Source organism: Homo sapiens, chromosome 8 (genome assembly GCF_000001405.40).
Source record: "Homo sapiens chromosome 8, GRCh38.p14 Primary Assembly".
Taxonomy (NCBI): Eukaryota; Metazoa; Chordata; class Mammalia; order Primates; family Hominidae; genus Homo; species Homo sapiens.
Genome location: NC_000008.11, coordinates 101,847,502 through 101,875,409, shown reverse-complemented (window position 1 = coordinate 101,875,409; position 27,908 = coordinate 101,847,502). Strand labels below are relative to the sequence as shown.

Sequence of the window (27,908 nt, the reverse complement as noted above, 5' to 3'; positions counted from 1 at the left end):
GGCCTATTCTTGAGAAGAATACTTGCAAGGAGGGAAATCCTGTGTGAATGGTGCATTGGCTGGACAGCCTGAGCTAGCTGTTGCCTCCTGTTGAGGAGGGGAGCTCCCGGAACAGGATGAAGAGCCAGGACTTTGGAGTCCAGCATCCTGACATCTGTGTCTGGACTCTGCCATTTACTGGCTGTGGGATGTGGAACAAATGACTTTACCTCTCTGATCATCCAGTTCTTCATCTGTGAAATGAAAAATAATAGTACTTGTGTTATAGTGTTGTGGTAAAGAATAAGTGAGATCAAGTTGGTCAGACTGTCTAGACTACTTCCCGGCACATAGCAAACTCTCAGTACTGGCTAGTCATTATTATTATGCAGTTATGTTGTCAATTTAATGATGTAATAATAAAATATTAACATAGGTAACATACTTAGTCTTGCATAGCTCAGGACTTAAAATACTTTGTAGGAGAATCATTGTTTCCATTGATTCCTCTCCTTTCTCTTTCTGGCCAGTTTGTTTTTTCCGCTTATACCCCTCCCTCCTGTTCTACTTAGGAAGAGGAGAGGAGTTAAAAATTGGGTAAGACGCTGGGCACAGTGGCTCATACCTCTATTCCCAGTGCTTTGGGAGGCTGAGGCAAGAGGATCACTTGAGGCCAGGAATTTGAGACCAACCTGGGCAACATAGTAAGACCTCGTCTCTACAAAAAAATTTTTTAAAATTAGCTGGATGTGGTGGTGCACACCTGTAGTCCTTGCTGTTCAGGAGGATCACTTGAGCCCAAGAGTTGGAGGTTACAGTGAGGTATGATTGTGCCACTACACTCCAGCCTGGGCAACAGAGGGAGACCCTGTCTCAGAAAAAAAAATTTTTTTTTGATTAAGAAAAACGCAGCTGTTCGACTGGGGGCCTTTGGTTGTTGGGATATAGCAGAAGTGTGGGAAATGCTGAAAGAGGCCATCACAGCCCAGCTGGCCAGATAACCCATGGAAACCCTTCCCAGTGTGGATCCTATTATCGTGGGCCATTACTTATTTGATATTTAGACATAGGTGATTTGCAATTTCAGATTCTAGATTTTCTCCTCCATTAAAATGTAAACCTTCACAATGGAAAAGTTTGTTGTCTCTTTTGTTTACTGCTAATTCTCTAGTGTCTAGATACAGCTATCAGCTCCACCTTTGGGCTGAACCTCCTGAAAGTCCTCAAACGGGCCTTCAAGTTCTGACACAATCTCCCCCACCCCAAGTTACCTCTCTGATTTTATCTCCTACTAGTCTGTGAAATCTAGCTAGATATATTCAGGAGTAGATAAGACTGTTGGGGCATATGAAATACATCTAGCAGCAAAATGTAGAAAGATTTAGAAGGAATCATGTTTGAGGTCTAAGTTCTAGTTCTGCTACTATTTCCTGGGGTGAAACTGGGCCAAATCATGTGACCTTTGTAGGCTTTAGCCTCCACACTGAAAGAATTTTGGATCAGGGTGCTTCTAATTGTAAATTTAATGGCAATGCTATCCTTGGTTGTAGCATAATATGAAGTTGATTTATCCATTCAGAAACATTTCTGAGTATTTTTGGTCCCTGGTGTGAAATTGTGAATCTTAGCCTGGTGATTCATAGGCTAACAGCTGCTTTCCCACCATCTACCCCAAGCTCAGGGCTTTGCAATGGGGGCGGCAGTATAGCCAGAACTGACATCATGTCCCATTCTTCCTAGGTCCAAGTCATTTCCATCAAGCAGCATTTCCCAGGCTTTTGTCATTCAGGTCCCATCTCCATGATTTTTACTATATCACATTCTATCTATATTATTTTTTACTTAATGTCTTTCTTTAAACCACTCCTTCTTTATATTTTACCTTGCATTTGCCCTAAGCAGCAGTTATAGCTGTGAATAGCTTTGAAATTGGATATGCCAGCTATATTTTTTTCTAAAGCACATGAAAATAAATACACAACCATAATCCGCCATAACTATGCACCACTAAAACTGTCTTGAGTAATTCCAATGGTTTGCCTTGCACACTTTGGGAAGCATCACCATGAAGGTGAGGGACAGAGCTCTGGAGCTTTCACCGCCTTGAGTGTCCTTCTTCCAGTGATCTTAGACCTTGGGAGGAAAGAAAAAGCCATTCTCAATGAAAATCTGAGGGAGCCCTTTCCAAGGCATTGGAGATTGTTCACTTTATTTTGATTTGGAATGTAGTGCAGAAATGACTAAGCCTTCCCAAGAGGCCAAGGGCTGCTGGAAAGAAGAAAGAAAGGTATTTTGCTGGCTTAAAAAACAGAAGTCAATGGCAAAGGAACACGCTGAAGGGAAAGAGCAATTAACTGAAATAAAATAAAGCAGCAGAAAAGTGAGAGGAGTGGTGGGGAAATCTACTGCAGAGAAATGCAGTTGCTTGCAGAAGCAAAGCATTAGTGGAAGGTAAGAGACTTTGCAGAGATCCTCATTTCCTCCTCATTTTGGACTTTCGGAGTCTCTCTCTCATATGATGTGAGAACTGATTCGATACACAGAGGGGCTCAGCTTGGAGGCCCAAAGTATGATATTCTTCAATACACTTCCTGCTATTGGGATCATGCTCTAAACAGGTTAGCTCCTCCATGACATATAGTTTTGGCATGAAAGGTGGATCTAAGGCTACCAGAGAGAAAGAGTTAGAAATGAGTGTAGACTTCCTCTAGCATCTTTTCATACTTAATTAAGAAAGAGAAGGAACTTAGCCTTTATCATGGTATAGATTTGATTGACTTAGGCCCACATATCTGCAAGGGTCAGCCAAATTTAAATTGTAAACATGTTTTTAGAAAATCTGAATTCCCCAGCACGATTGGCTTGAGCGATTGGAAACAAGATGCAGGACCCCAACACAGACACTGAGTGGAATGACATCTTAGACAAGAAGGGCATCTTACCCACCAAGGAAAGTATAAAAGAATCAGAAGAGAAGGCAGAAGAGGAGCAGCACATCCTTCAGCAGTCAGTGGTGACAACATACGAAGATATGACTTTGGAAGAGCTGGAGGATCATGAAGACGAGTTTAATGAGGAGGATGAACATGCTATTGAAATGTACAGATGGCAGAGACTCGCTGAGGGGAAAGCAATTAAACTGAAGAATAAATTTGGAGAAGTTTTGGAGATTTCAGGGAAGTATTATGTTCAAGAAGTTACCAAAGCCAGTGAGGGCTTGTGGGTCATCTTGCACCTTTGCAAACGAGGAATTCCCCTCTGTGCCCTGATAAATCAGCACCTCAGTGGACTTGCCAGGAAGTTTCCTGATGTCAAATTTATCAAAGCCAATTCAACCACCTGCATACCCAATTATCCTGATAGGAATCTGCCCATGGTATTTGTTTACTTGGAAGGAGACATCAAGGCTCAGTTGATCGGTCCTCTGGTGTTTGGCGGCATGAACCTGACCAGAGATGAGTTGGGGTGGAAACTGTCTGAATCTAGAGCAGTTAAGACGGACTTGGAGGAAAACCCTAAGAAGCCGATTGAAGGTGTATTGCTGTCTTCAGTGCAGAGCTCTGTCCCCATGAGGAGGGACAGCGATTCCAAGGGTGACTGAGGCTGCAGCTGCTATCACATGCTGAACTTTCTTGTGACAAATTGTCTGGATTTCTTTAAGAAAAGGAAAAGCAAGAATGAATCCTTCTGGTTTTTAGTTTTGTATAAATTATGTTTCAAATCTTTACATTTTAGAAATAATAATTGCTGGAAATTCTGTTAAATATTTTGGAACTCTTTTTTTAAACTATAGTATTTCCTCTAAAAAAATTAAAACCAGCTATTGGTATGGCAAAAAAAAAAAAAAGAAAATCTGAATTCCAGAGGATTAAAATATCTCTGTTTGGGAACATCTCCCCTGGCACACAGCTGAAGTAAGTGCCTGCAGATGGTCCCAGCCCTGTTGAGGGGAACTGTGTTGGGTTCTAGCATGTATTGTGCTGGGCCCCTGTCAAAGCCGATGAGTTCCAATCTAGAATTTTGATTAGGAGGAGGGAGGTATGTTAGGAGCCAAGTCAGCTGCACAAAGGCTGATTGGAAAAAAACTTCTGTATTGTTTTGTGTCTTTCCAGATTTTTCTATTTAAAAATAGTGCCCATTAAGAGGGAGTGCTGATATCATTACCATCCTCTCCAAAAGGGGGCAGGAACTGGGAGGCTCTGAGGAAACTAGGTATGGTCCATACAGCAGATAGGACAGATTCAGCCAAAAGACAAGAAGCTCTTGGTTAAGCTGCGCCAGGAATACTATCAATTACTGTATCCTGGGATGAATTTAGGAAAAACCTAAGAATTAAATTGCGCTCAGAGCACATGAATTGCAGTTTCATGCACTGTTTTTCTAGAACCTCAACTAGGATATTTATAATAAGGTTTTGGTTTCTTTCCAGACTTGAGAGAACATTCATCTAAAATTACATTTTTTCAGGTCAATTTCGACCAGATGTTCTTTAGATAACTCATGAACGTTCTCTCTTTTTTTGGGGGGGGGGGGTGGGGGCGGTGGTAGAGCATAGTCCCTTGAACCCTTTTTGAACCTTTTTGGTAGATACTGTTTGTTTCCTCATTCCCTCTTTATTTTCTCTTCTCTATTCTCGAGTCTCTGTAGAGGCTGACCTGTGGGCCAAATCCTATTTCTGCAGATCTTTGCCCCCAGTAAAACAAAACAAATAGACCATCTTTCACTTTTCAGAATTTTCAAGACTATGTCAATGCTTTGAGTAAGTCAGACCTTTGTGTAGAATACATGAGTCTCAGCAGCAGCAGTGATGAGTTGGCCTCTTCCAGAAGGGAATTCACTGCATGGGTGTGGGCCACTGAGTTAAAGTGTTTCACAGCCCACTTTGCTACCCTTGCCTGGTTCCTGAAATGGTTCAAACAAAGTAACAACTTAAATCACCAGAACAACAAAAAAAAGATTATTAAGTGCACTTTCTTTTATGTGATTTTTATTCTTGTTTATTTGTTTCATATGAACTTTATGTGAACAAAGGGATCTTGGTGAGTACCTGTACAGCCAAATCAAACTTTAACAGAATCCCCTAAGATAAGACAGAAACTATGGGAAAAGGTTTTCTTATTAGGTATTTGTTCTGTCCATTCTCTGAAATACTCGTTTCTAACACTGCTCTTTAGTAAGGAAAAAAGTCATTTTTCTTTATATCTAGACTATTGAAGTCATTATATTTGTGATGGGAAATTTTTAAGTATGTGAAGTAAAGAGAGTGATGGGAGGCTGAGTTGGAAAGAACACAACACCTAATTGAGTCCCCTCTTCGTCTGGTGAGTTAGTATTGTGCCCATGCTCATGAACTAGTGTATTTTCTGTTTTTAATTTCCTCAATTTTCAAACTGTAAAATAAAATATTATGGTGTCTGTTTCCTGGGAACAGAAAACACATGTAAGTATTTGAGAAATTTGAGACAGAAATTTGGTTTGAAGCTTGTCAAAAAGATACATGAAATCAAGCCCCAATAAAATATTTTTCTTGCTTGCATCTAGTTTATCATGATTGGATTAAATTATTCTTTGTAACACACTCCTGAATGATTTTATAACAAATACATAAATATGAGGATTAATTAAATGCCATTATGCTAACAATACCTACAATTTTGGTCATTGCACAGACGTGACACTTAAAAATTAGTATACATGTGTAGACTTTGGTTTAAGTCTTCTATTAAAACAGTACTTTGAGCTTTTATTGTTATCAATTAATATTTTAGGGTGCCCGAGGCAAGAGGCAGATGGAACCTGCAGCCCTGCACCTTGTCTTCCCTTCCCATCCCTGGCTCTTTGTGGCAGGACTCCCATGCAATCAAGCTGTATTAGTTTTCTGTAGCTGCTGTAACAAATTAACCACAAATATAGTGGCCTAAAACCATGCCAATTTATTATCTTGTGGTTCTGAAGATCAGAGTCTAAAATCAAGGTCCCAGCAGGGCTGCATTCCTTCTGGATGCCCTATGGGGAGAATGTCTTCCCTTGCTTTTTCCCTCTGCTCCAGGCTGCCTACATTCCTTAGCTCAGAGCCCCTTTATCTCATCACTCCAACCTCTTACTTCCATCACCACATCTCCTACTCCTGACTCTGATCCTCCTCCCTCTCTCTTGAAAGATTCTTGTAATTACATTGGGCCTGTCCAGATCATCCAGGATAAACTTCCCATCCTGAGATCCTTAACTTAATCACATTTGTAAAGTGTCCTTACCATAGAAGGTAACATATTCATAGGCCCTGGGAACTAGGATGTGGATGTCTTTGGGAGGCCTACCACATGTGTGAACTCTCCAGGCCCACATTGTTACAGCTCCATCCTTTACCATCACTGCACCCTACACTAGAACTGTTTTGTCTGCCCTTGGGAGGACCTCCCCAGGCAAGGGCTCACACAGGTCCTAGGAGTGGCTCTGTTACCAGCAGAGGGTCTTGACTGCAATTTGTCCAGGTTCTTGGCATTTTGAACAAAGAATTAGACAAAATACACAGCAAAGCAATGAAAGAATGAAGCAATGAAAGCAGAGATTTATTGAAAATGAAAGTATACTCCACAGAGTGGGAGCGGGCCATGCAGTGGCTCAAGGACCCTGGTTACAGGATCTTCTGAGGTCCAAATACCCTCTAGAGGTTTTCCATCGAGCTCTTGGCATATACCCCATGCAAATGAAGTAGTGGCCTGTGATCAGTCTGGTTGGTTGCAGAAAGCCTTGTTTTTGGTCTGTGCTTCTCCTCATGCGTCAAGGAGTTGCCTTCTGCAACCAATCAGAGGCTGAAGTGAAGTCACAAAATTATGCTCCTATGCAAACATCTGATTGGTTGCAGAAAGCAACTAATCAAAGGTACTTTCAACTTTCCATCTGCCAGGCAGAAATGGGGGAGGTTTGCAAAGGGAGTAACCTTTGGTCCTTTTGTTACTTAGGTGTGACAAGTTGGGGTTTTCCTTTTGATTTAGTTCTAGGAAGTCAGCGTGAATCAGCCTTAGGTGTCCTGCCTTCCGACCCTATTCTCCTGCTTCAGCTCAGACCAATTGAACAGGGAATTCCGGGATCCCTGGTACCTGGAAGGCTGTCAGGGTTTAGGAGAAGGTCAGTGCGAGCTCAGTGTGGGCACAGGGCTCTCAGACTCCTTGATGCATGAGGAGGAGCACACACAAAAAAAGGCAAAAGTGGGGCCCTCTAAGTCTAGAGGCCCAGAGCAGGGGCCAGATGCTGGCGTCTACAAGCAGTGTTCCTCCAACAGCCAGGCAAGCAGCATGATTGAATGCCTGGAGGTGGGCTGTGGTCAAATGGAGACTGTCAGTCCATAATAAAGGAGGCAGTAGAAATACAGTGCCAGGGAAAGGGGCCCAGTGTTGCTACATCTTAGCAAAACTAAAAACCTATTTTCATTTTGTTTTAAACAATGTGCAAGCCAAAAAAAAGGTTGGCGGGGGGCGGGGACCAGATATGGCTCTTAGCCCTTCAATTTGCAACTGACCCCTGGTTCAAATGAATGAGCACAGCATACCTAGGCATAGATGACATTTTATTGAATGAGTGAACAATGAACTTCAATGTCAAATTCAGAGATGGTGCATTAAGTAAATTACCCAAAGCCGAAAAATTCATCCCTAATTATGTCACATTTTTCAGTAGGCTCATCAGAGATTCAGCAGGGAGATAACATGACAACTTTAAGATAAATATTAATAAAATGTCCACGATATGGCAATGCCTTCAATTTGTATAAACCCTTTTCCATGATAAATTTCACGGATAAAAAATAAAGCCTACAAATTAAATCCCCTTGCCAGTGAAAATTCCAAAGTTAAAGTCCAGAGGAATTAAAGTCCAAAATTGGAAGCTTTTCTGTGGAGCTAAAAATCCAAAGGAATCAAATTTCCAGTCACAAAGCTGAAGTTCAAAATTACTTCAGAAATTTCTAAGAAGTTGCTTCATCATCATTTAGTCATTTGACAATTATTTATGGAGCTTCTACTGTGCACCAGGCACTGTGCTAGGTCCTGGGGGGAAAGCGGTGAATAAGAGGCAACCATGTCCTTATGGAGTTGATATTTAGGTAGGGAACAACATAAGCAAGTAAAATATGTAGTATTTTAGGTAGTGATGATTGCTAAGGGGAAAAAAACTAGGAAAATTGAAGGTAGGGGCGGTTTGAAATTTTAGATAGAATGGCCAAGGATAGTTCCATTGAGAAGGTGACTTTTGAGAAAAAGCCTGAAGGAAATGAGGGAGGTAGCCTGGCAGATACTTGGTGGGAGACCATGCCAGGACGAGGGAGTGCCAAGTACAAAGGCCTGTGTTGGGTGTGGCCTGGTGTGCTTGAGGAACGGTGGAAGGCCAGAGTGGCTGGAGCAGAGAGAACAGAGATGGGGGATAGTAGAAGGTGGTGGTCAGAGCAGAGAAGGGAGCCAGAGCATAGAGGGTTCTTAAGGATAAGAACTCTGGCATGTACTCTGAGTAGGATGGGAGTGCTTGAAAGATCTTGAGCAGAGAAGTGACATGCTCTGACTTCTTTAAGTCAGACCTCTCTGGCTGCCGCATTCTGAAGAGGCTAAAGAGGGTAAGGACAGAACTAGCGACACCAGTTAGGAGGCCGTCGTAATACCCCCTGGGAATGGCTGTTAGTGTTAAAATTTGGAGGTAGAAATGGTGGTAATGAGAAGAGGTTGGATTCTGGATCAGTTTTGATAGTTCATATAACAGGATTTTCTCATGTATCTGGCTGGGGTGTAAGGAGAAGAGAAGTCATGAATAGCACCATGGTTTTGGTTTAAACAACCAGAATGGAATTGCCGTTATGAGAATAGGAATGACTGGGAAGGAAACAGAGTTTGAAGGAAAGATCAAGGGACAATCTGGGGACATATTAAGTCCTAAACATCTATTAGACATGCAAAGTAGATGAGTAGGTATTTGAAGGTATAGATCTGCAGTTCAGGGGAGAGGAGCCAGACTGGAGATATAAATTTGGTGATTGTCAGCATGTAGATTTTATCTAAAGCCATCGGACTGGATAAGATCACCTGGAAAGTATGTGTGGACAGAAAAAAGAAGAGTTTCTAGACCTAAGCCCTGGATGACTCCAATGTAGAGATCAGGAGGATGAGGGGGAACCAGCAAAGGAAAATGAGAACAAGCATTTGGGAAGGTAGGAAGAAGAAATCATTTTGTGAAGGTACTGAACAGCTGTGTCAAATGATGCTGGGAGGTGAGGCTGAGAATTGACCATTGGCTTTAGCAACATGGAAGTTAATGGAGACTTTGATATGAGTAGACTCAGCTAGACTGATGGACACTCTTGTGCCTGAGTACAGCTGAGGCTCCTTCAACAACTCTAGCCTGGCTATCATCCTGGAATGGATGTAGTTCTCTCAAGTACTGGAGCACTAGGAAGTAGAGTGAGACACAAGATCACCCAAGTGGATCACTTTTGAATACGTCTGAAGAGTTGATAATTGACCTAAGATTATTATAGAACCATCCCCATCCACTTGAAATTAAAAATAAGACAGTCTGTGGCTCCTAAAAAAGTATTTTAGGCACAAGGATATTCCCCAAACCAGTTATTTATTATTGTCAAATATAATAAATACAAATAGCAGAAATACAATGACACTGAGTAAAGGAGGGTAGGTGGAGAAAATCTTGATTTCAGTTACACCAGGATCCAGTAAACCTACCATACTGGAGAGCATGACCTGTGAATTCACACTAAATGGAAGAAATATCATATGCACAAACACTACCACTGCAGCCACCCAGAAAGAGAGAGGAGAGAAAGAGAGAGAGAGGAGAAAGGGAACCCCAGAGGATTTCCACACAGTATAAACTCTGCCTCCCTAAAGCACAGACTGGGACCATGTAAGTGTTCATGTTTCCTGCAGGCAGTTGACACCCCAAAGAGAAAAATTGAGTGACGAAGGGCTGAGGCTCCACATTCCTAGTTTCTATTCCCAAAGGACTGATTAGAGAAAACACTCCTTCTCCCCTAGGACAGTGAGGCAGGGAGGAGAGAGGCTAGCAATAGCCCTCCTGGAGTCCTCCTAAACACAAACTCAGGGAAAATATTTGACTTCTGTGCCTCAAACTCCAACAAACACAACAGGAAAGGGAATTCAAACCATTTTATTTGATTGGTTCCTTGGTATAAAATTGATTGAGAATAATGATAAATATGTCTTTGGCTACAATGAAATTAGAAACGTGAGTTTTCATCATTCAAAATCTCTCTTATTCTGGATGTAGAATATTTATGCACATAATCTTAGATGTGCATGTGTGCATGTCTGTCCATGATCAGGGAGAAACTAGAACCCCCTTACTTCTTGTTGAGTCCTTGAACTGTCCCATCTGCTGATGAGAGCACTTATTATAATGAAAATATCATTCTAACCAATCTGTTATAAACTCGTGAACAAATCTGTGTTGAGTCCTTAAGACAGATAAAGATTACAAGTACTCTTTGTCCTTCTAGAAAATTGGAACAATCCAGCTGGGCGTGGTGGCTCACACCTGTAATCCCAGCACTTTGGGAGGCTGAGATGGGCGGATCACCTGAGGTCAGGAGTTCTAGACCAGCCTAGCCAACATGGTGAAACCCCGTCTCTACTAAAAATACCAAAAACTAGCTGGGCGTAGTGTTGGGCACCTGTAATTCCAGCTACTCAGGAGGCTGAGACAGAAGAATCGCTTTAACCCAGGAGGCGGAGGTTGCAGTGAGTCAAGATCGTGCCATTGCACTCCAGCCTGGGCAAGAAAAGGGAAACTCCGTCTCAGAAAAAAAAAAAAAAAAGAAAGGAAAGAAAATTGGAACAATCCTATCAGGTCATATAAAATATGGCTTTTCTTGTCGAGTCTTTATGAAGATCCTGTTTGTTGTTTTGTTGTTACCTTAAAATGCCTGTCTCACCTCTCTCTCTCCAGATCTCTCTCCTTTACTCCGTTGGCATTTAAGATTCTACTTTTCCATGGAGCCATCCGTAATTAATCCCACCAGCTCTCATCAGCACTGGCATTCCATCACTCACATGCACTGTGTGCACTGTGGCTTTTGTAGGTCATGGTCCTGCTTTGTTGTTGGTTGTTGATATCCTTGTGTGTCGAGTAGACACATTTGCACACAGTTAGCCTCTTGAAAGGAAACTGGAACTCACAACTCCACAGGTGACTTGAAGCAGAAAGTTTTGTGTTCTTTGAGCCACCGTATAGCAGGAAGTAGACTTGCTTTAAGTGTCTTATAGATTGATTGAGCTTAATTGAAATCATACACAGGACATGTAAATGCTTTGGAAAGTATGTAATACTATCTGATTACAAGGTGCTGTTCTGATTGTTGGTTAATGTAGTTTATTTAGTTCTCTGTTCTGTTGCATGTTAGAATCACATGGGGAGATTTAAAAAATCTCTAATGCCCAGGCCCCATCCCCTTGGAATTCTGAGTTCGTTGCTCAGGGATGCAAAGCAGGCATCAGCATTTTTTAAAGGCTCCTCTCCCTAAGTGAACCACAACCCTGGTTTGCTGTTTCTTGCCAAGTAAGTCTTCCCCCAATGGTCACACAACTCACTCCTGCATTTCATCCAGATCTTTGTCAAATGTCACTGCCTCAGAGAGCCCTTCCTCTACCCCTTTGTCTGAATTAGTCCTCCCCACTCTCACCCATAGCTTTCTAGCCTCTCAAAGTGCTTTTGTGTTTTTCAAAGCATTTAATGGTTACCTGATATGATATTAATATGTGGAATAATAAGGAAATGAATTTCATTCAGTGCAGGAATGGAGACCTGCCCTCCCACAGAAGCATCTCTAAATTTCCAATCCCCTGTTATTTTAAGAATACCAACCACAGAATGGAATGCCAGCCTAAATCCCCCTAGCTGGTGGGAGAAGGCAGTTGATGATAGAGGAAGCCTGGGTTAAAAAAAAAAAAGTGAGAAACATGGTTTAAAACATTTCAAAAAGAAAGGGGAGGTGATAGAGGTGATACAGTCTTTTTTAAAAATTGAAAGCAAGACTTTGGCAGAGGCCAAGTTGGCAAATGGAAAGAAACCTCATCCCTGCAATTACAGAACCAAGATCCGGATTGAGTGGGTAAATCTAGTTGGTCAAAGAAAAACCCCAAGGTTGATAAGAAAATAGTCACAGATGAGATGGGCTCCAATCTTCCTCTATACCACACCTTGCACCATGAGAATGATTCCCAGATGAAAGAGAATGAGAGGTGATGGAGTGAGGAGGAGGTTTGGGAGCTGGGTGGGAGTTCTGAGGAGGTGAGCACACGGTGTGGAGAAACAGGCTCTGGGGTCAACTTGCTTGGATTTCATTTCAGAACCTTGGCTTTTAAATATAATTTATTTAACCTCAGGAGCTGTGAGGACTTACACACTTGACTTTTCTTCTTGGGCCTTCACTTCTGAAGATGACAGAAACTCCTGATTCATTTGGGTTGTTGTGAAGATTAAATGAAATAATATGTAAAAGTTTGTAGCAGAGTACTTGGAAGACAGTAAGTGCTTAACAAATGGATTTTATTAATAATGCCTTTTTAAAAGGGAGTGAGCTGTCAGAGAAAGCTGGAAAAATTTCTCTTTAGTCACATAGCACTCATCCCAGGGAGCTGAGGACAGGGCATGTGACCTAACATTGACTCTTCCCCAAATGAAGGAGGGATTTTCTATTTGTCCCTGTTAGAGAAAACTAGCATGAGATTAAATGATAAATGGCAGCAATAAAAGTCAGTGAGAAATGTACACAGCTGTACTTGGATATTTGTCATTTTTGAAAATTTTAGTTAAAATTGAGTGCCTCCTTTATTATGCTATTAGATATTAATCACTAGCTACTATTTGCTTGTAATTTGAAGAGTTTGCTATTAGAAAAAAGCATAGCAAAGTGAAGCACATGCTAAACATTTTCTAACTTTTGTCCAAGACTTTGAAAGATTAAGACTAAGGAGGCTTCATGGATCGTAATTAAAACACCATTCATTTGGAACCAGCTCCTAAAAAAAATGTTGTGCCTGTGGCCTCAAACTTGGTTGAGGGAAATCCTGTAAGTCCTAGAAAATATCACAATTGCCGTAAGTAGTTTATTAATTATTGTGTAGATTTACTTTACATAGGAACTGTGTTCCTGAAAAATTGCAACTAAAACAAATTTTTATAATTTTATTCATTTCTTTATTAACATATTGTAATGTCTGTGAAAGTCAATCCTTTGTTTTGGATTGATTTTAAGTCACAGTAACTTCTAATTCTTTGTCAGACATGACAGTTCAAAACATGTACATGAATACTTGGTGGTATCATGGAATGCAACAGTCTTGTTTACTACTTAAGGGCAGCCTGGTGATGAATCCTTTTGCAGATTTGTGGAATTATTATGATTATTTTAAATGACAGTTATATAATTGTAATATAAATGATTGCAAATTCCCTGAGGGCAAGGAAATGTATCTTCTATTTACTGCAGCACTGTACAGTGAAAAAATAAACAGTACCTGGACATGAAGTCGAGACCCAGGAACACACGCAGCCTTAACAGCTAACTTATGTCAACAAGGCACCTACTTTTGGTGAACATTAATTTTCTCATCTGCCTTCCTATCTTACAAATGCATAGGGTCTCAAATGGAATCATACATATGAGAAATGCAATAACATGTGAGAGAACACAATAGAAACCTAAGGTTATCTTTTATAGCAGGTGCTCAACACAGAGCTGTCTAATGATTCATTACCATTGGATATATTTGTTCTTTTAGATTGTAATTTTCATGTTTACTTTTCTTGAGGTAGGGCACTTGTATACTTTGGTGAGCTGTTTTGTTTTTGGTTTTTTTTTTAATATCACATATATGGTCTTAAAATATTTATTTTGGTTTGCTCAAACTATGTCTTCCAGGTTTCTCATGAGGTCTTTGTTCCCTCTGCTCCTCCTACCTGTGTGTTCCACCCATGTTTTTAGCAGTTCTGTATATAGTGTGGTCTGATAGCTAGAGCCACAGCGGTCTCTCCCAATATAAGCTGAGAAACGCCACTGACTCGGAGGGTGGCAAGAATTTAGTGAGCTCCACAGTCAACTTCCCGTGGTCCAGGTATCTCTCAGTTTCCTCCCCTTCAGCTCCACCGACAACCCAAATCAAGAGGAACAAAGTTGCCCATATTAGTTTTCTTTTGCTAGTGTAATAAATTACTACAAACTTAATGACTTAAAGTAACACAGATTTACTATCTTACCATTCTGGGCGTCAGAAGTCTAAACAGACGCACTGAGCTGAAATCAATATGTAGGCAGGGCTGGTTCCCTCTGGGGACTCTAGGGGAGCATCCTTTCCTTGCTTTTCCAATTCTAGAGGAGTGATGAGTTTTTAAATATATTACCTTGGCTTTTAGATATAATTTATTTAACCATAAGCTTATATAATTTCATTCTAAATATTGACTGTATTTTACAACCAGCTTACAAAATTTCTAAAAATTTAACATTCAGCTTTCAGGGGTCGGTACAGGCAATTACAGCTCACCACTGCCTCCATATTTCTAAACAGTCTGCATATACTGCTGTTTCTCGATTTTTCAATTTTGACACAATCTCCTTATAGTGTAAGATGATGATTTAGCTCCTCTCATTCCCCCATTCCGCAGCTCTCCCTCAATTCTCCAGTGCACACCTTCTCTTACTCCCATCTTCCCAATATAATACTATCACAATTATGGGTTAAAACAATTTTCACTGTTTATGTTATTATGGTTGACTCATTATAGCTAACATATGAGCCACATGGATACTTGTGATGATTACATTTCCTTTCTTGTACAACTTTTTTATTCTCCTGGACTTAATTGCCAATGGCTACAGCTCCAGGAGAGCAGAACAATTTTCTCAGTAAGGGTCAACATTTCTGGTGCTCTAGTGGTTTCTTGTTCATGTGTTTCTTGGAGCTGTCTTTATGGAACTCTCTGCTCTCCTGTGTCAATCAGGAGTGATTATTCTCTAAACCTACTACATACTTTTGTTCTGAGAATCCACTTCATCATCATCTTGGGAGGATTCCCCTATTTCTTGTGTTGGATGTCCTCCATGGCCTTCATGTCCTTGTCTTTCCAAGTTTTAATCCTTGTTTTTATAGAACCTAACCTCCGGTAGTTTCCTGAGGCAGCAGCTTAAGAAAGCATGTATTGGAGGTAAGTTTTAATACTTGCATGTATGAAAAGATATTTGTCATGGTCCAGTTCTTGATTTCAATATTAGCTTTGAATATAATTCTTCACTGGAAATCATTTCCTCTTAACATTTTGAAGACAATGTTCCATGGTCTTCTTAAGTACAATGCTGCTTTTGAAAAGTTTCAAAAATGCAATTCTGATTTCTAAGCCTTTAAAAAATAATAACCTATCATGTATCTCTAGAAACTTTTGAATCTACTCTTTATCTCTGACATCCTAAAAATTTCACAATGATATGCCCTATTGGGGTCTTTAAAAAATTTATTGTGCCAGGCCTTTGGGCAAACGGGCACATTCAGTCTGGAAACTCATACCCTTTGTTTTGGGAAATGTTCTTATGTTACTGTTTTGGGAACAGGCTGATAGTTTCTCTTCCAGAATTTCTATTGTTCATAATAGAACAAGGACATCTTGGTTTAATGCACTACTCTTCTTATCCTTTCTCTCTATTCTTCTTCCTCACACTTCTTTTCTTTCTTTTTATACTATGTGTAGGAAAATTTCTTAAATTGTGTCTCCAAAATTCTTTATTAAACTTAAAAAATCTCTGCTATCATACGTTTAGCTTCTAGAATCTCTTTGTTAATTTGCTAAGGGGTCTTTATCTAGCCTCCTATTCTTGGTCATGGATATAGTATCTTATGCCTTTCTGAGGCTATTAATGATCATTGTATTAGTCAGGGTTCTCTAGAGGGACAGAACTAAAAGGATATATGTATATGTGAAGAGGAGTTTATTAGGAGAATTGACTCACATGATCACAAAGTGAAGTCCCACAATAGGCAGTCTGCAAGCCGAGGAGCAACGAAACCAGTCCAAATCCCAAAACCTTAAAAGTAGGGAAGCTGGCAGTGCAACCGTCAGTCTGTGGCTGAAGGCCCAAGAGGCCCTGGCAAATCACTGGTGTAAGTCTAAGAGTCGGAAAGCTGAACAACTTGAAGTCTGATGTTCGAGGGCAGGAAGCATCTGGCACGGGAGAAAGATGGAGGCCAGAAGACTCAGCAAGCCCAGTCCTTCCAACTTCTGCCTGCTTTATTCTAGCCATGCTGGCAGCTGATTAGATGGTGCCCACCCAGATTGAGGGTGGGTCTGCCTCTCCCAGTCCACTAACTCAAATGTTAATCTCCTTTGGCAACATCCTCACAGCCATACCCAGAAATGATACTTTGCATCCTTCAATCCAATCAAGTTGACACTCAATATTAACCATCACAATTGTTGAATTTTTTTCTGCCTCTGACATTTTTTGTTTCTTCCAAGTTCATTTCTCCTCTTGTTTTGTTGCATGTTTTTCTTTGGAGATTGTTCTCAAGTATCTGGTCATTCTGTTTTCCATTCATAATTAAGTGCACTATACTAACAAGCTCGCTGGAAGCTGTGTGTGCAGGAATGGAGCTCCTTGGGATTCTCCGTGGGGCTATCATCCAGACACTTGTTCATTTTGTTGAGGAACCCATAAATATCTGTACTGTAGACTTTTCCCTAGGGCTATTCTATTTCTTCCAAGAGAAATCCTCCAGTATTTTGCCAGGCTGCTGACATTCTAGATGCTGAGTACAGGATGGGAACTGTGAATCCCATTTTCAGCCTCTGGTCTTACTCCCACTCCCTGCTGTGCCTTTCGTTCAGAACATCTCCGGTTCAGTCTTTTGTGAGTAAACCTCCAGTATCAGGCTGGGATAGGGGAGGAAGTTGCCTAGCTGTGGGGTAGAGAAGAGTGTGTTGGAACAAAAATGCTTTCTAACTACCTTTTTATCACCCTTCTTGTTTTCAGTTCCACCTCTCACCTTTATTTTCAGAGGTATCTGGTGCCTCTAGTTCCTGAGCTTTTTCTGGCTTTTGAAGGCCAAATCATTGACTTCAATCGCTGCAGATGGTTAATTTCAGTTTTGCTCCACTCTATAGATCCAATGACGTGTGAAACTGCTTTCCATTTTCTGAAATTTTGTTGATATCTCTCTTCTCATGTTATCTCTTCTTCATCCTCTTTTATGTGTGTAAATTTTTACATTCCTTTACTGTCATTTTATTAGAGTTGTGGCTGGAAAACAATACCAATGAGTTTATTTAATTTGCCATTTTTAACATGAAGTTTGTATATATGGTGGTAAGGGTTTTGTTGTTTTAATCAAATTGCTCTCCAAAAAGACTGAATCAATATCTATCCCATTGACAATGTCAGTGCTCATTACTCTGCATCCTTGCTAACACTAGGTATTATAAGTATATATTTGTATCTTTGCTAATTTGTCAGGAAATATTTTATATCTCATTGCTATGGTGAACTGGTTTGCCTGGAGCTAACAGTTTTCTGGGATGTGGAATATTCAGTGCTAAATCCAAGAAAGTCTTGGGCAAACCAAAACAGGTTGGCCACCTTATTCATTGCTTTAATTTAATTAACTTATAATTTCCCCCAAAACTCTCCAAAGCGGAATTAATCATTGATGCTGAAAGAAGAAAGAACTCTATCTTGTTCTCCTTCTTTTACTTCCATTGACTTGACATCTCCCCCTGCTTCAACAATCACCAGACTTTGACTTCCTGTCCTCTTCTGCATGCAAATCTCTGCCTTCTTTTCCTCTGGAAATAGCAGAGCAAATCAAAGGTGCTGTCTGGAGGTGTGCTAGCAGGATCAATGGTATTAGCAAAGAAGTCTGAAGTCCCTATTATATTATTTCTTTGGGCTTTATGCTTGAAGACTAAACTCAGTGAAAAGTCAGAGTTCTGTGGGAGAGAGAAGTCAGAATGCCTTTGAGTGAGTAGATATGCACATCTGTGCCTTTTTGGCTGTGTCAGTATTAGACTGTGTTTGGGATAGGAGCCATGCTGGAAATTCATGCCAAAGAGAAACTGAGAAATTGTGCTCCCAAATAGGTCTTATTGAAACTATCTCAGTCAGAAGAACTGTGAATCTAAAAGGAGACAGAGTTGGAGGAGGAAGATGGACAGTGTTATATGCTCAGTGAAAGTTAAAATCTGAAGCAAATCTTAACATCCTATTATTTGTTCACTATGTTTCTATTATACAACCTTATGGTAGCAATGCTTGGTTCATAAGCAATTCTGGAATTATCTTCATTTATTTACTTAGTGGACACTTGGGATTAGAGGTAAAGGAGCTCACAGCACGGTGGGGAAGAGAGTCACATATATAATACACTAGAGGTATTAGTGAAGTGCTGTGAGTGTATTTACACTGGAAGGAATTAGTTTACCTGAGGAGTGGGGAAGAGAGTCAAAGTAGATAAGGCTGTATCAGAGGTGGGCATCTGAATGGCTCCTAATGGAGAGGCAGCAATTTGCCAGGAGCAGAAGGAGTCAGGACATCATAAGCAACCTGTGTGTGTGTCATGACGTGGCACTGTGAATGGCTATGATGTGTTTGAGGACTGGATCTGGCTTTGTGGAGAGCAGCAAGCTATGGGGCTGGGTAAGTAGGATGAGCCTGGTTTCCAGGGGCTGCTTTATACCTTGCTAAGGAGGAGGATTTTCTACCATAGAGGATATTTTATTGGCTCATTAAGTATACCATAAGTTTTCATATTCATATAAATAAGCTCTGATATTTTAGTTCACTTAGACTAGCAGTTTTCTTTTTTTTTCTTAATAGCAGCACCATTTCTTCAAATAAAATCTTACACGTAAGGCCATGTAGAAACATGTAAGATCAGGCTGGGCGTGGTGGCTCGGACATGTGAAAAATGACAGTAAAGGAGTCTTTGCACTTTGAGAAGCCAAGGTCGGCAGATGGCTTGAGGCCAAGAGTTCAAGGCCAGCCTGGGCAACATAGAGAAACCTCATCTCAAAGAAAAATATAAAAGTTAGCCAGGCATGGTGGCGTGCGCCTGTGGTCCAAGTCACTCTGGGGGCTGAAGTGGGAGAATTTACGTGAGCCTGGGAGGTGGAGGTTGCAGTGAGTCAAGATTACACCATTGCACTCCAGCCTGGGTGACAGAGCAAGACCCTGTCTTAAAAAGGACCAAACCAAACCAAACAAAAATAAACAAACGAAACAAGAGACAGGTAAGATCAGAGCTGCTGTAGTTGATCCAGGGTTGGGGCTTAGATCCCATTCTTCATCTTTTCCTCTTCCAAAGCTGCCTCCAGGGAACCCCTGGTGTCCTGCAGAGGTGAGTCTGAAACCCACCAACAGCCTGAGATTAAACCCTGAGGGTGTCACAGCAAGATGTATGAGTGTTCATGAGGATATCTATATTTGATCGTCTCTGGACTTCAAATAAAGGAAGGGAAAATGATTACTAAGACCTTATAATTAGAAGCAAATAACATGACATCAACAATACAATTGCTATGTTAAGAGATTGAGCTTCTAAGACACCACTGTTTTTTATTTCTGTCTTTCTGGCTTCTCATTGTTGGTTCTGGGGATCATCCCTGTTCCCTCTGATTTATGTCTTATGTTTCATGCTTTCTCTTCACCCATAATGTCATTTTCCACCTATGCACTTGTACTCTACCTTCCATCTGAGGCCCTGATGCATCTCTGTCAAGATGTGTGATGATCATTGCAAATTCTTATTATCATCCCCTCTAAACTTGAGATTCAATTTCTTGAGTATATCCATGTCTTTAAATGTAGCCATTTCTATCAGGATTGACTATATTATGCTGCTCTAACAAACAGCCCCCCAAATCTCAGTGGCTTATTGAAACTAAAGTTTATTTCTCACTCACATGAAATCCTCTATGGGTACAAATGGCTCTCTGGAGTTGCTCATTTAGATGTGCACTCAACATTCTAGGCTGCCTCTCATCTTATGATGATTCACTTCCAGGAGAAGGTAAGACTGAGGGATCTCACATGAGCAATCTAGTGCTCTGGCCTAGAAGTGACAAATATCACTTCTGCTCACAACTCATTGGCTAGTGCTAGTCATATAGTCCTATCCAATAGCAAGGGGATGGGGTATTATCCTCCTAAGTGTCTAGAAGAGAAGAGGGTGTACTCCCTCTCCATTACTTGCAACTACTCTTCTTCCTGTTAGGGATACTGGTCCCATCTGACTGCCTGACACTTGCTCATTCTTCATGCTTGTTTCCACGTGTCTTCTCTGACTCCTCTTCTTCCTCCCTCCGCTCCTCTTCCTCCCCAGCAACCTCATCAGGAGACTCTGACCCATGTGTCCAAGCACTGTGCTCACTTCTAACCCAACCCTGCCCTTGCTGCTATATTTGTGTGGGCATGCCAGTCTTCCCCAGTTGGACCAACACAATGGCATTATTGATCTCAGTATCCCTAGTACCTAATAGTGCATGCTACTTGTAGGTACTCATTGAGGTTTATTGTGTAAGATGAATGAATGTTGCAAATTCCTAAACATGTGATTCAGATGCCCAATCTTACTCTGTTACTTTATGAAAATTTTTTAAAGCTATATGATGTTATATCAAAATATGTTGTTATACTTTAGGATAATCGGTGTGTTAGCCCTGAATTTCAGCATAAGTCCCATTTTTTTCCATGGGAGTCTAGGAAAGCTATATGTTTATTCAGCAGCAAAATACAGTTTGGAACTTAAATAAACTATTGATCAATTTCTGGTCTTATGCTAGAAGGAATAAAGCATCAAGAAAAAGAAAAGATTTGCTGTCAAGACCAGGAAAATTTGACAATAGAGTATTAGAATGCAGGAAATGAGGGGAAGTGGAAAGGCAGCAAGTAGGAGAGAAAAAGTGCAGGGACAGTAGAAAGTGAATGTAGGAGCTTTCTGACCCATGCACTTCAGGAACGCAATTCATCCCTAAAATGCTGTTTGCTGTCTTAGGTTGCAAGTAACCAAATTAAAACCAGTTTGAAAGTAGAGTGAGACAGCTGTCATCATAAGAGTCATTTGATCTGTTTAAAGGTGGCTGCTTGTATGCAGGGACCAACAGTCATGTCCAGGGCAGCAGCTGGTGCACACTTCAAGCACAGACCATAAGAGCTACCCCAGGCAGCACCTGCTACCAATAGTGCAAACAACTCAGAGAGACCTCGTTGGCATAAGGGAATACTCTCTCCTTTCTGAGTAAAGAGCAAGTAGAACTAAAGGTTTCACATTTTAAACATACTTTACATTCCTCCTCTTCTGGGGCTCAAGCCTACTTTTGGGCCAAAGCGGATGTTATATCTGACATAGAGTCCTCGGAGCAGCAGTTGTTCCTGAAAGTTCCTTTTTGCATCTTTGTGCCTCATGCAGTGGCTTACAGGTCAACCAGACTTCTCCCCTGACTTTTGATGTGTAAGAGCTTGTGTTTCAAATGGGTTTGGTTTTCTTAATGTCACCCTAGGTTGGTGGAAAGGAGAGTAAATGGAAATGGGGGGAGCAGGGTCCCCTGGGGAGGTTTAAACAGATGGAAGTCAATTGTCTCTTGAGAATAGAGGAGGCTATTGAGTTTTCATTCCACACTCTGCTCCTGTTCTGTCAGCAAAGAACAAGGACTACTCTCCAGCAATTGCTTTCCACTGGACTCCCCCACCCCGGCCTCCCCACAAAAACCTAGGGATCAACTTAGTTCACTCCAAATTAGAAAATTTAATAGTCATTTGTTTCTTCTTGTCCACAGGGAGAACCATTTTCTTTCCTTCTTTCAAAATTGCCCAGGTCTTGTGAAGGGTTATTAACACCAGAAAGAAATACATTTTAATAAGCTTAAATCTCATTTCTACATGAAACCATCAGATTTTAGTACTGCAATATTTTGATCCCTCTGTCTTTTAGGCTCTGACACCAAAATTGCCATAATGAAGGTGTTTCACTTCTTCTCATTTATTTTTATGGGATCTTTTATTCCCAAATGCCTTTTCATCCCAGCCAAAGGGAGAAATGTTGATAGATCTGCCATCAAGAAGGTTCCAAAGCTGGCCTGTCAGGTTTTCTGTTTCCTTGTTTATTATCTTTGAACTTTTGTTTTAAATGTTTTAAACACTTATTTACCATGTAACTAAATGCCTGATAGCATTGAAAGTACTTTATGGGTTTTAATTTATTTAATGCTCATGAAACCCTATGAGGTAGGTACTGATATTATTTTTATTTTACTGATGAGGAAAGTGAAGCAAAGAGAAGTGAAATGAAAGGTAGTGAGTGATGGGACCAGGGTTTGGACATGGGCAGTCTGGCTCTAAAATGTATGCTTTTAACTACTATGTAATGCTGCCTCACCAACAACTTGTCTCACAAATTGATATTCTGGATCAGAGGATGTCGACTGGCCTGCAAATGTATTTTGTATGGCTCATACACAGTTCAGAAGTTTTAAAAATTTACATAGAAATCTGCATTTCCTGACTTCTTTTGAAAATGGGAATACCAAACATCATTAGGCTTGAATTCCCAATACGGCAACAACAGCTGAGCAACAAGCAGCTGTTTAGACTAGGCACTCGCTCTCCAATTTCCACAGTCCCCACCAATGCAGATCATAGTATCGACTTAAATTTCCTGCCTGCCTTAGAGAAGCTTCTGAGCTTGTGACCTCTATTCTAGCTGCTCTATGAATGGACGCTGCCCCAGTACAGCGAGGACCTGCTGCAAAATGCATTTCTTAGTCTTCAATACTTATTCCTCCTTGTAACTGGATTTCTGGTAAGTTATGTCTCATGGTGGATCTGCCCCAAAGATGGAGACTGAATGGCAGTGAGTCACTCGCCCTGGCCTCCATTGTTCTGGAGAAGGTTCCAGCCACATGGTTGATGTCAGCTGGTTTTCCAGAGCCAGAGCTGGGTTGCAGGACAGACACACCTGCATCTAATAGTGAAAGGCAAAGTTGAAAGGCCAAGACCAGCCTGAGGTCTGAGGGACCAAGGGCTTCACAGAGGCCAGAAGTTCAGAGGTGGACATAAAAGGTGTTAGGAGAATAAGGAAGTGAAAAGAACATAGTACAGTGTATCAGAGGAGGAGCTCCAGGCTGGCAAATATCACTCCCTCGAGAAAAGTTACTGCCTGTCTGCTGAATTCACACTTCCTTATCCAAGTGTCTCAGTCCATTCAGGCTGCCGTAACAAAATCCCTTAGACTGGGTAATTTACAGATAATAGAAAATTATTGCTCATGGTTATGGAGGCTGGGAAGTTCAGTTCAAGATGCCAGAAGATTCAGTGAGGTGAAGGCCTGTTCTTCATTCTCACTGCATCCTCACATGGTGGAAGGGGTGAATTGTCCTCATATGGTAGAAGGGGCAAGAATGTACCCTTCATCCAGTTTTATAAGGGCAATAATCCCATTCATGAAGGCAGAGCCCTCATGACTTAATCACCTCTCGAAAAGCCCCACCTCTTAATATCACTATAATGGAAATTAGAGTTTAACATAAATTTTGGAAGGACATATTGAGACCATAGTACCGTACAATAAAATCAATACCCCAGCTTCATGGAGCTGTTGTAAAGATTAAATGAGATAGTGTACTCTAAGTACTTAGCATGCCTGGTGTGATCAATGCTAACCCAAAGGATCCAGGAGGTCTCGAGTGGCTGCTAAGAATACTAATGGGTGTTTGCAGTCTGCCTGTGTGCAAAGGCAGGTATGGAGTAGCTGGGGTCCAGTCAGTTCTCAGGGGGCAAATCCAAGACAGAGTTTGATTATTCATAACCTTAACATTGTGTTGCCATCATTTATTTTAATTTTCAGTATATTTATTTATATTTAGTTTTTAGTTTCAAAAGTAAATATGATAGGCAAGAGAGCTAGGGTAGGCAAGAGAGCTAGGGTAGGCAAGAGAGCTGTGGGTGACAATGCTAAATGCTTTTATCACACTTACTATTTGTATTTTTTTTTTTAGTTTAATGAGAATGCCATACACTTCCCTCTCTCTTTACATCTAGAAATATTGTATGAACAATGAATTCATAAGATGCTTGCAACTTCAGTTGAGCTAAGATTTTGCATTTTGTTATTTCTTCACTTCTTTTCTCCCTCACTCCCTTTCTTCCTTACAGAAATTTATAGATTTGTCTTATAATCTAGTTCAGCATTTCCCAAAATGTAAGCTAAAGAACACTAATCTCGTAAGATTCTCCAGGGATAACAGGTTTTTGTGATCAAATAAATTTAGGAAATGCTTTATATTTCATCTCTTCTTTAAGATTTACTAAACATGTTGAAACATTGATAAGGCTTTCAGTTGCCTTGAAGTAAAACAAAAACCAAAACAAAAAACACAGAACATTTAGTCCAATATTTTCTCAAATGCATTTGGCCATGAAACTTTTGCTTTCTTGAGTAAACCCTATTAACACCCTGCTGGATCCAACTGGACAACTGTCAATCTGGGTCTTCTCATTAAATGACTTTCTAACCTTGGAACTGGACTGATTATTGTTACTGCTGCTTTCATTAAAGGTGCTACATTTTATATTTATAGATTTATCTTCCTCCCAAAGACCTAACTTAAAAAAAATCAGAAGAGCATATCTTCTACCCTCTGCTTCATATATACTGTAATTGAAAGTGTAAGGATACGTCATGAGAAAGTAAACATACAACACAGTAAAAGTTGTTCCAAGTATTTAAAAATGTTCTATATCTTCTACCTTATTATGGCTCAAGATATAGTAACTTTTGTGGGGTTTTATCATTGTTTTTGTTTTATTTTGTGAAAACATCCAAGAGCCCGCAACAGCCTATAGATTTGCAGATCCTTTTCTTTCCTGGGTAGACTTGCATTCAAGGAAAACATTAACCTAACACAAGTTCTTCTTTAAAATAAGTGTGTAGCGATCTTTTTCCCTCACAGGCTCTGCACATACTTGTTCTCTTTTTCTCTCATCATTTACTTACAGAAAATAAAACCTGTTAAGAAGCAGTTTGTTCTATGTTAGGTTCGTTTATACAGCAGGCGAGCAGGAGATGGTGTCTTGGAATTGCCTTGACACAAGAGTCATCTGGGTTCTGCTTCATCTAAGGAGTGCTTCAGGATATTAGAGAGCTGAGAGAGGCAATCCCAGATCAAGCGAGAATTTTCCTTTGCAGGGTAGGGACTGATGCCCGGGCCTGTGACACTCCTTTGGCTCTTTCAGAGGCCTCTTCAGTGACATGGACTCCAAAGCACAGTGACTGATCTTTCTGGATAACACCCGGCAGAGCTAGACTTAGGTACATGCTCAGTCCAGAGCCCTCTTCAGATGTGACAAGGGAATGGCTAATCAGATGTGGAAAGTACCTTGAATGAATAGTCAGTCTGGGGAGTGGGGGAACACCTCTTAAATTGGTTTTATTGAATGTAGAAGAACTTCCTGAATTCTGTGAATGGCTGGGGAAACACAGGGAAGGGCCCCCGTCTTCAGTGTGAATTCATTGTCTTCCCTTGCTCAGAGCCCCTGCCTTTGTTGTAGCTCTTCCTTTCAAATTCAATGCCAGTCATGGCAGCAAAGATAAAAGAAGTTAGCGCTAGCTTGTCTCTGCTTGCTCGTAATTCTGTTCAGGGCAGATTTATGGAATGAATGATTCTTTCCATCACAGTTGGCTAATTTTAGAAAGATTAGAATGCAGGAGACTTCCGTTCCTATGCTAATACAGCCAGGCAAGTTACTACCATCATCTGGCTGTGTTAACTGAATTTTACTTTTGTGTCTTTCTGGTTTCCTATCGGAAAAATGGGCAGGGAAATGAAGACCATTTACAGAGTGACATTAGGAATAATGGAAAAAAATTGATTACAGACCACTTTACAAATTCATAGCTCCGTATTTATGCTATGAATCAACATGTAATTTTTATCTTATAAATAACCAAGGTAGTCACAAATTCCTAGTGCTTTTTAAATCAGATACCAAATTCTATTTTTTTCTTCAACTTTTATTTTAAGTTCAGGGGTACATGTGCAGGATGTGCAGGTTTGTTACATAGCTAAACATGTGCCATGGTGGTTTGCTGCACAGATCATCCCATCACCTATGTATTAAGCCCAGCATCCTTTAGGTGTTCTTCCTGATGCTCTCCCTCCCCATCCCTCACAGGCCCCAGTGTGTGTTGGTCCCCCCACAATGTGTCCATGTGTTCTCATCATTCAGCTCCCACTTATAAGTAGAACATGCAGTGTTTGGTTTTCTGTTCCTGCATTCGTTTGCTAAGGAAAACGACTTCCAACTCCATGCATGTTCCTACAAAGGACATAATCTCATTCCTTTTTATGGCTGCATAGTATTCCATGGTGTATATGTACCACATTTTCTTTAGTCTGTCATTGATGGGCATTTGGGTTGATTCCATGTCTTTGCTATTGTGAATAGTGCTGCAATGAACATACGTGTGCATGTATCTTTATAACAGAATTATTTATATTCCTTTGGGTATATACCCAGTAATGGGATTGCTGGGTCAAACAGATACCAAATTCTATTCATTTGTCTTAAAATTCTTAGAAGCAATGTTGTAGAACAACATATTCCAGGCTGAATTTTACCTTTCACTTTTCTCTGTTATTACTAGATACATGCAAAAAATTGAAGTTAATATTGTAAATCTTATCCTTTAAATGGAAAACAGAGAAGGCACTGAGTTAGAGAAACTTTAACTTTCAAGAGCCGAAAGCAATCAAACATTAAAAATCTTAGGACCATTTCAATGTGACTCTCCATATAAAACCCATAGATTATGGGAATCATGACCTCTTCTTTTGTAAATATAATTTCCCTAAAATTAGTATCAAACACTTTTAGGTCTGGAAAGCATCTTGGATATGGATCTTCTGAGGGGTCCAACAGCTTCTTGCTGTATCTGTTTGAGAGTTAATAGCTCACCTAGAACTTAGATCTCCTAAATCTCCAGACAAAACTTTTTTCAAGTTTTCTCTTGTTTCCTCATTCTAAAATTATTTTATAGTATCCAAGCCACTTCACTTTCCACCTTTCCCTTCCTATTCTCCCCATAAATTGGTCCCTGTAACTCCCTGCTGCTCCGTGGAGACCCTGAGGTGCCATAGGAAAAGGAAGGTTGTTAGCTAAGCCTCTGAGCTCTCTACAACTTATTGAACCAGAATACCTCAATTTTTAGCTATTTTTCTTATGATGCTTTCCTGAGATAGGGGCTCCATGGCTTGAAAATGTTTTCAAGCCACTGTTCTCCCCGACCAAAACCACATGCTTGTCTCATTCAGTGTTCCTCATTCAACCCCCAAAGTCTCTTTATATCAACTTTTGTAAGGTTTGTTCCTTCTCTTTTCCCTTTTGTACCATTCCCCATCCCTACTACAGACCTGAACGCTTCCCAGCATCTTCTTTTCAAGGGCCACTGTTTTTTACGAGCGTAAATGCCTGAAGTTAAACTGTCTTATCTAAGATCCCTAAGTTCAGCCTCATACCTCAACTCCACACTCTCTTCCCTGATCTGAATATTTTCAAAACAGCTCCTCAGGACACCTGGGAGGTGTTCTGGCTGCCATAAACCTTAAGTCTCCTTGGGTCCCATGTTCACCCAGGAGCTGTGTCTCTTTCCTGTCTTCAAAGCTGCACCAAAGCTCTTTGAGGGTAGGAAACATATATTTTCCATTTTCACATCTAGCACTGGTTTTTAACATGGTAGGTGTCTTAGTTAAGAATTTCATTGGCTAAAAATAACATGGACCCCCAAACAATAGCTTAAATAAATAAATGAGGGGCTTTCCCTTTCTCATATAATCAGAGGTCTAGAGATGGGGAGTCTGGAGCTGACATGACA

General features: G+C 40.6%; 1 protein-coding gene and 1 pseudogene across 17 annotated transcripts in view; both read left to right on the top strand.

Annotated features, from left to right (window-relative positions):
- Positions 1-27,908, top strand: part of NCALD (neurocalcin delta) — a 438,366-nt gene that overhangs the window by 249,498 nt on the left and 160,960 nt on the right. For 2 of the 17 annotated variants that reach the window (XM_047422304.1, XM_047422316.1), the window contains one exon: positions 22,740-22,838. The exons of the other annotated variants lie outside the window; for them this stretch is intronic. The gene's annotated coding sequence lies outside the window, so the exon portion shown is untranslated. The remainder of the gene's footprint in view (positions 1-22,739; positions 22,839-27,908) is intronic. 17 annotated transcript variants of the gene reach the window in all.
- Positions 2,831-3,815, top strand: PDCL3P2 (PDCL3 pseudogene 2; annotated as a pseudogene).